At 32.2% G+C, this 9,741-nt stretch overlaps 1 protein-coding gene across 13 annotated transcripts in view; it reads left to right on the forward strand.

Moving 5' to 3' along the window:
- NBEA (neurobeachin) overlaps positions 1-9,741 on the forward strand; it is a 730,467-nt gene that overhangs the window by 173,380 nt on the left and 547,346 nt on the right. For all 13 annotated transcript variants that reach the window (XM_047430271.1, NM_001385012.1, XM_006719803.4 and 10 more), the window contains 4 exons: positions 1,765-1,844; positions 2,579-2,641; positions 2,728-2,825; positions 7,833-7,925. In XM_047430271.1, the coding sequence (XP_047286227.1) occupies positions 1,765-1,844; positions 2,579-2,641; positions 2,728-2,825; positions 7,833-7,925 (334 nt within the window). The remainder of the gene's footprint in view (positions 1-1,764; positions 1,845-2,578; positions 2,642-2,727; positions 2,826-7,832; positions 7,926-9,741) is intronic.

The raw sequence follows: 9,741 nt of genomic DNA on the forward strand, positions 1-9,741 counted from the left end.
TTTATTTTGCAGAAATGGATTTATATCATGCACAAAGCACACAAATATGTATATATTTCTTTGCAACATGCTGTTTATATTATGCAGTATACAATAAAAATAATTATTGCTAACATTTGAGTGCTTGTGATTAAAATGGGCCTGGTACTAGTCTAATTCCTTTACATATGTTGATCTATTTAATCCTCACAAGATGTCCTATGACAAGCAGTATTATTATTCTTACCCTAACAATAAAGAAGAAAACAAACCTAAGGCACAGAGATGTTATAAAACTGGTCCAATTTTATTAATTGGTAGCAGAAATAGAAGAATAAGGAAATTATTACTAAGACGGTATCTGTCTGTTCTTGAATGGAGTGTGGGTGTGGTCAGGAAAAGCAATGTGGCACAGAGCTGAGGTCTGGAGCATGGTGAGGGCTTTGGCATGCAGGGCAGGATGGGACCACAATCAGTTGTTAGATATTCAGGAATTTTATGAGCACCTTGTTAAATCATTGGTAGCTTGAACTTGAAATCAGATTATTATTAATATGATAGAAATCAGAAGTACATAAATGCTCAAAATCAGGACCTCATCCCTCCACTCTGCAGATAATTCCTTTACCAGCATACCAATGGTTGACGGGTTTCCCTGTCAGGCTACTGTCAGTGTTCAATTTCTTGACCAAAGAAGTGTTTATACAGGTGTTCATTTCATGATAATTCGTTAAGTTGTTCATGTATGTTTTCTGTACATTGGCAATATTTTACAATGAAAAGTTTTTTTAAAGTAATACCAAGTGTCAATAGGAGGGGAAGAGTACTTTGTGCATCTTGGTGGCAGTGGGGCAATAAAAGGTGGAGAGCAGTCTGGGAAATAGGGAAGATATTTCTTTTATTATAATAGGCGGGATGGATTTTTTGGATAATAACTTGCTTGCAGATATAATAATCTTCATGTAAATATTAAGTGAATAAGCAGATGCTATACATTATACATGAAGGGATTATGCTTTTAAAACTTGTAAAGCAGTAGATAAATACTGGTTGCTACAAGAAAGGCTTAATGTTACAGGATTTTTATGAATCTAGCTTCATTTTTTAAAAGTATTCTGTATTGTATATTATGCATATTAGAATATATTATATTTTCATTTTTATTAGTAATTAAATATTTTGAAATTACTTTAAAATTTGTACGTTATGATAGAACTGATATGCACATTTTAATATTTTATACTCATTTTCACTTATTGACGCAGCATAAATGCCCACTATAATATGTATTTTCTGTATACAAGTGACATAGAAGAAATAGGCTGCAAAACAAATAATTGCAATAAAACAGAGTGTCATTTTTTCTGTGCTTTGTTAAATAATGTGTGGGGTGAAAATGGAGAGAGTCCTTAAATGAAGACAAGTTTAATTGAGAGTGGAAGACATATTGGGAAACCTATTAATGTAATAAAAACAGAAAAAAAAGCATTAATATAAATACTTGGGGATTATACATTTATAAATGGATATTAATATATAACAACTTTTTAAAAAGTTCTTTTTTCCACAAAATCAGACATTCAGTAAATAATTTGAAATTGTCAAAAATTTGAAAGTTAATTTTTGGATACTCATATATTATTAAAATTTTATAGCATTAATATAAATATTGTAATTTTAATAAAGATAATTATTCAAGAATGCCATAGTATCCCAAGATAATTGCATTTAGCTAATTTAATATCTTGTATTTTTTATTTTACTTTTTTTTCTGTTTTGTTCTAGATGGTCCCCGGCCATCACAAAAAGAAATTATATCACTGAGGGCATTTATGCTACTTTTTCTGAAACAGCTGATACTAAAGGTAAAATAATTTTATATAATTTAAAATAATAGTATATTAGGTAGAAAGGAATTTCTGGCATGTTTTAAAATTATTAAATTAGTAATAGCTACCTTTAATTCATGAATTGCTTTCAAAATTCTCCACATCTTAGTATTCACTTTTATTGAACTTAACTAACTTCTGATTAAATGCTCTCTGAAATCTTCCCTATTAAGGGATGTGACAGAAATGGACAAGGAACATATGAATAAGAATTGAGCCCTTATTCTTATAGTAATTGACCATTATTCGAGAAAATGATCTGTGTGCCAGTTTAATAAGGCTTACATAATGTATTTTATTGTAGTAGAATTTTTTAAATGTTAAGATGAAACCAAAGTGAAAATAAATATAAATTGTGAGATAGTACACAAAAATTGATACTGTATAGTCTTGCATTTATATTGTTTTAAGGAAAGAGTAAGTGATTAGAAAATAGTCATAAGAATACTTAGATGGTCAAAATATGCTAACTTTTTATAGTGAATGTCAATCAAATACTAATGACTTTTAAAAATTGATATAATTTTCTAAATATTTACTTAACTTGAAATAATACAGTCTATAAATTGTGAAATGTGTGGGGATTTTAATTAAAATATCACTACATTAAACTAACTCTTATTTTCTTTTACAATGATTATTTTGACATCTTTTTTAAATTAAAATTTTAATTTTAGATGTAAAGTAATAAAATATTTTTTAAAAATTAGGATCGAGGGGTCAAGGAAGATGAACTTCAGAGTATATTAAATTACCTACTTACGATGCATGAGGTAGGACATGTTATGGGCCTTTTATTTTAATTATTTAAGCCAATCTTTAGAGTAAAATTTTAAATCAACATTGGTGATTTATGCAGGATGAAAATATTCATGATGTGCTACAGTTACTGGTGGCTTTAATGTCGGAACACCCAGCCTCAATGATACCAGCATTTGATCAAAGAAATGGAATAAGGTATGATTATAATATTAGTATTACTATTAGACTTTAATGGAGCACAGTTGTTCCTCCTAGAATAACTGCTATTCTATGAATATTTGAATAAATATAGCAAAGTCTTGCACATAAGAGAATAAATGGAGAATGCTGCTATTGATCCTCGAATACTCAGGAAACTGATGAAGTGTATAAACAGTAGTCTCAGGAATCAAGAAGAGTAATTAAATTGTATTTGCTATAGTAAGGACATTACAAATTGTGAATAGAGCATTTTTTTTTCCAAGAAGACACGAAAAAGCAAGGCACATTTTACCAAAAGAGGATACAATGAAATTTTATGATATGAGGCCCGAGAGAGATTATAGCCAGATTTGGAAGGTTCATAGAATGGTAATAACTTTAGTGGTTTTTTTCTTTCAGCTGGTGATGAAAATTAAAGAATTTTGAGTAGGGGAAATGTTGTGCTCAGATTGCTATTTTGTTAGATTTACAATCACCAGTGTGAAACATGAGTTGAAGGACAAACTGATGTAGCAATATCAGCAGGGAGATTATTTTATTCATCAGTATTAAAGATGATGACTTGAGACAGTGGCAGTGCAATGGAAATAATAGAGATGAAAGATGTTTTGGAATAACAGGCCAAAGCCAAAAGAAACTGAAAACCAACTTTTGTTGTGGCAATTGAAATGTAACTTGGTAGATAGGTGAAATATAATTTCTTAATTAGTATTTTTATGAACTTAACCCTATCATTTAGCTTTTTAAGGAATTCTTCGTTTTTATTTTTCTGGAGTTTTAATTAGTGGGATGAGCAGGATATCGAGGTTATGCCATGTATAACTCAGTGAATTTCCACAGTTTTATTGTGAAAAAGAGTTTGGAAATAATATATCAGTGACTGTCAAGGGCTTTTTTAAGTGCCTTTTTTACTTGGCCATTTATATCAATGAATAACAACTTTCTAGACTTGAAGAACTCCTTTTCAAATTAGAGAAGCAATCACTATCTCTTTATGCATATCTCAGTTGTGATATGAGTATTACCTTTGAGTTTATAATTCATAGGGCTGCCAATCTATTTGAAGAAGATTATACATTTAGTGATTAACAACTGTTACAATTTTTTTTTCTTTTTGAGACAGAGTCTTGCTCTGTCGCCCAGGCTGGAGTGCAGTGTGCAGTGGCGCAATCTCAGCTCACTGCAAGCTCCACTTCCCGGGTTCACGCCATTCTCCTGCCTCAGCCTCCTGAGTAGCTGGGACTACAGGCGCCTGCCACAATGCCCGGCTAATTTTTTGTATTTTGTTTTAGTAGAGACGGGGTTTCACCATGTTAGCCAGGATGGTCTCCATCTCCTGACCTTGTGATCTGCCTGCCTTGGTCTCCCAAAGTGCTGGGATTACAGGCGTAAGCCACCGTGCCCAGCCTATAATTTTTTACTCTAGAGTTTGAGCTATATGAAACTGTTGATACTTAACTGATTTTACAAAATAATGACAATTTCATATAGCTCAATCTAATAATGTAGTACAATTACTCTCACTCTTCTGAACTTATATTTAGATTGAATAATTAGTGTCCTTGTCCTTAGATTTTGCTTTGTTTATTATATTACTTGATAAATTTAGTGAATCAGTTGAAGATATCCACATTACTCTTGTAGAAGATACCAAACTTAGATTGTCTAGTATGATGAAATGCAGAAATATAATTGTATTATTTTGACACATCGGAAATATGATCCTACAATTGAGAGTGCTATTTGGTAAGACCTTTAGGATTTACATGTATTTTAAATGTATGGTACGAAAGAACTAATTAAGCACAACAGATTAAAAGGCCTTGTGCTCATGGCTGACCATGAGCAGAACATGTCAGATTGTTACCCGTATGTTAAAAACAATCACACAGATTAAAAAACGGCCTTTCCTTGACACTTCAGCTTTTCTACTTCAAAAATGTGGAGAAAGCTGGTTCAGAATAGTATAAAAGATGAAAAAAATAGGCTTATTAGATAGAAAATATTGAAAGTGGCTAACGAATTTATATGTCTGTTTTCTAGAAAATAGCCATTAAAGGCTAACAGTTGTATATGAAGTATTTTGGGAGGAAAATTCTAGTCTGTTGTAATTCATACAGTTGAATTCAGTATAACAGTTGAACAAAAAGAATGAACTCAGTTTAATTCTGATGGTATGCTAATTGGGCTTAAGGAAGCCCTTGTAATAACAGAACACTGAAGTAAGCAGCTAAAAATTTGATGTTTTTATATCTGGGAAATTTCAAAGAAAGGAATAGACAGCTACCTCTCTTATATAGCTTAGACCATTTGCTTACTGAATATAGTGAGCTTAAGCAGATGTATTAGGATTATTGTTATTTAGTAATAATGTATATTACAAGTAAACATTAATTAACAAAGTAAATTTCTTATTCATACTGTATCACATCCCTAGGTATGTAGATGTGTGATGGACCTAGACATTTTCATGTTTCAACATTAGTCATAATTTCTCTTGACCCAGGGTGGGGTCTAATACCTTTTTTCCTGCTACTCGAAGTTATTCCTAGACAATAGAAACTCTGTGAGAACTTCCAGTTCTATATTTGAGTGTAGCCACATTTTTAGACTGTGAGGGTTTTTTTTAATTTTTTAATTTTTTTTTAGAGTCTCGCTCTGTTGTCTAGGCTGGAGTGCAGTGGTACCATCTCGGCTTATGGCAGCCTCCACCTCCTGGGTTCAAGCAATTCTCATGCCTTAGCTTCCCAAGTAACTGGCACTACAGGCATGTGCCACCACACCTGACTAATTTTTTTTGTATTTTGGTAGAGACAGGGTTTCACCATGTTGCCCAGGCTGCTCTTGAACTTCTGCGCTCAGGCAGTCTGCCCACCTTGACCTCCTAAAGTGTTAGGATTACAGGCATGAGCCACCATGCCTGGCCCAGACTGTGAGCTTTTACTTTGGTTCTCAAGACTATTTTTGCTGTTTAGTGTTGCTTCTTATGATTTCTTGAATGTGTTTTTTTTTTTTGACATGTCTGACTTTGCTATTCTCAGACTTGTCTTTTTTCATTACTGATCTTGGTTCCTAAAAGTTTTGAAAATGGATTTCAGTGTAAACCCATACATATTTATGAATGTGGGATTTGAAAAAAAAATCTTCCAAAGGAAATAATCACTTTTCTCATAGTTTATTCTTTAATAGATGAAATGCAAAGCATAAAAGAAAAAAAGAGAAAAAGAAGCAGTATCAATAACATCTTTTCTTTTTTAATAGTATAAGCTCTTGGCAAAACTAAAAATAATGACTTTAAGCTATTTGTTCCCCTTTGTATCACTGAAACTATGAAAATTATATTGCATCTTTTACTAGATTCTCTTGTTCAGCTGAGTACTTTACCTCAAAATATGCCATGGCATTTTATTTTTTCAGAAACATATTTAATAAAATAAAGCACACTATAATGTTACAGCCCCTAAAGAACCTTCTTGTATTCTAGAATTTGTTGCCAGTGTATATAGTTGTCATTGTCCCTTCTACTTTATGGAAACAAATTACTTTTTTTAATAGAAAAAATGGAATAAAATTTCTAAACACTTAAACAAATGTTATAATGAATATGGCCCTACTTTTATATAGTACTTGAAGTGATTGTATAGGTTAAGTTGTATATTAGTGGAGGCTATTTTGCTCCAAGTAACAGAAAACCTCTAAAGCTTTTAAAGTAAAAACTGAACAATATACTTGTTAAAAAAAACCTTACCAAAGGATTATAAATCATGCTGCTGTAAAGACACATGCACACGTATGTTTATTGTGGCACTATTCACAATAGCAAAGACTTGGAACCAAACCAAATGTCCAACAATGACAGACTGGATTAAGAAAATGTGGCACATATACACCATGGAATACTATGCAGCCATAAAAAATGATGAGTTCATGTCCTTTGTAGGGACATGGATGAAGCTGGAAACCATCATTCTCAGCAAACTACCGCTAGGACAAAAAACCAAATACCACATGTTCTCACTCATAGGTGGGAATTGAACAATGAGAACACTTGGACACAGGAAGGGGAACATCACACACCGGGGCCTGTTGTGGGGTCGGGGGAGGGGGGAGGGATAGCATTAGGAGATATACCTAATGTAAATGATGAGTTAAGGGGTGCAGCACACCAACATGGCACATGTATACATACGTAACAAACCTGCACGTTGTACACATGTACCCTAGAACTTAAAGTATATAAAACAAAATCTTAGAGTAGGAACCAGGAATTGTAGGGCTGTTAGGAAACAAGTTTGCTTTATCTACTGCTTTCTGTAAGCTGTTTAATCCTTCCTTCTGTATGTTGACTAGCCTTTCTGAACAGAAACAAAACGTTACTGTTCTAGTTTCTATTTTAAACAGTTTTTGAATTCAAGAGCCCAGCAAAGAGGAGATATTGTTTCTTAGACCTCATTCCAAATTCTCAAAAAGGAGAAAGAACTAGGCAGGTGCCTACCTATCATCTAATTAGTTATACCAAGAAAACAGGGTTAGGGTGCAGGTGGCTCACGCCTGTAATTCCAGCACTTTGGGAGGCCGAGGTGGTCGAATCGTTTAAACTCAGGAGTTCCAGACTAGCCTGGTCAATTTGGCAAAACCTCACCTCTATATTAAAATTAAGAAAAAAGATTTTAAAAAAGAAAATAGGGTTATCAAGTTTAAATATTGGGGCCAATTCTTAGAGAGAAGACATGTGGCCTAACTAAGCATGTGTTAGTATGTTGGGAGGCAGTACTTATGAACACCAGTCACATTGCCCTTTTGAGTGTATGGCTGAAGGACTGTTTAAAGAAAAATTATTAAAGCATGCTAGTTTTTAATTTTTCCAAAGAATTATAATCCTGAGAAGAAAATCTTCAGAGTTTTATATTTCACATATGTATAATTTATCTGTAAAGCATGTAGTGTGTTTTTGTTTTTAATATTAGTAAGTTTTTAAAAGATAATTTATATATTTTGTAGGGTGATCTACAAATTATTGGCTTCTAAAAGTGAAAGTATTTGGGTTCAAGCTTTGAAGGTTCTGGGATACTTTCTGAAGCATTTAGGTCACAAGTAAGTTGATATTTGTCATAATGCATTCTAGAAATAACTATTGAGATTATGTTTTTATGAGTTTTCTATGTAATGTAGCATGAAATTTGACTTGAAAAATCTAACAGCGGAAAATAATAGCTTTCTGTGGTAGAAATTGTAAAAATGTTTTATAAAATATATTTTATTAATAGTAGATTGTGAAACAAAATTACAATTTAAGTAATTAGTTTATTTCTATATTCTTCCTGAAAAGAAAGCATTATCTATTCTGAAGATGTAATAAAATATTTTGTCAAGATAAAATGATGCACATATAGGTATGATTTCAAGGAAAGCTTTCTTGACAAGGAAATACTGTGTATATGCTGAGGTCTTTCTCAGAGTTGATCTTATGCTTACATGCTGAGTCAGTATTTGTTATTAGTTTCTAACAGTAGGGCTTATTGATTAATTTTGTGACTTAAAGATGCTAGAATACCTCATTTCTTTCCCCAAATCAAGAATTTGAATACTTTCTAAGAACACTTTTTGTGTAAGAAACTGCTGCTGGCTTAATGATTGCAATTCATGCTACACTATCCAGTGTAGGAATGTTTTAAGAGTATATTTTCCTTACAAATGAAGCCAAGGAAGTAGTGCAACTATAATTTAAATGTTACTAGATGAGGTTCCTATCAGAACCTCATTTTCGCCCTTGTTTTTTTTTTTTTTTGGTGCTTACTTAAATTTGCAAAGCGCTTATTTGTAATAATCATGAAAACTGCACAAAATTCAGACAAGACATGTCTAACAAGCTGTATAGCCTAGAAGTTTAAATATTTTTAAAATTTCGGTACCAAAGAATAATTAAGTAAGGGAGACTAGATATACTATGGATATGGATATAAGGAATAGTTCAAACAAAGCCAGGATTGTAGAAAAGGATATATATGTGTGTGTATACACACACACACACACACACACGGATATATATACACACATATATGGATATATATATACATACACATATATATGGATATATATATACATACACATATATGGATATATATACACATACATATATATGGATATACATACACACACATATATGGATATACACACACATATATGTGGATATATATACACATGTATGGATATATATACACACATATATGTATGGATATATATACACATATGTATGGATATATACACACATATGTATGGATATATATACACACATATATGGATATATACACACATATATGGATATATATACACACACATATGGATATATATATATATGGTATATGGAACTGTAAGTACACTTGGTGACAGAGTGCTGGGAGTGAAGAAGCATATGCCCTTTTTATATTAAGAGATAAAGATCACTTCTTTAACTTCAGTTAATTAAAATAAACTGACTGGAGAAAGTTAAAGGATTGTAGCCCAAGATGCAGCCTCCTAAAAATGTCAAGAAAGCACATTAAAAAATTTACGAAAAGATGAAAACTCAGTTAATACAAAATTAAAAATAACAAGCAGGCAGTTTCCTGTATAAAGATGCTGTTTGAGATAGCCTATTTTCCCCCTTTTTCCTGTAAAATGTATAAATGATACAACAAGAAGTAAAAAATGTACTCTCTATCACAAATGTTATCACAAGTAGAAGATAGATGCAAAATATGAACTCCAGAATACGGGTATCAGCTGCTTAAAGTTGCTCAGGTTGGGTAAAAGCTGTTAAGGCTAAAGAGAAGATAAAATGCAAAGAGAATGGTGAGAGAGTTCACTTATAGCAAATAGGAAGTGTCAGTGAAAGTAGAGTTTCTGAAGATGAGAGGCACACCTTAAATTA

This window comes from Homo sapiens, chromosome 13 (genome assembly GCF_000001405.40).
Source record: "Homo sapiens chromosome 13, GRCh38.p14 Primary Assembly".
In the NCBI taxonomy this organism is placed as follows: domain Eukaryota; kingdom Metazoa; phylum Chordata; class Mammalia; order Primates; family Hominidae; genus Homo; species Homo sapiens.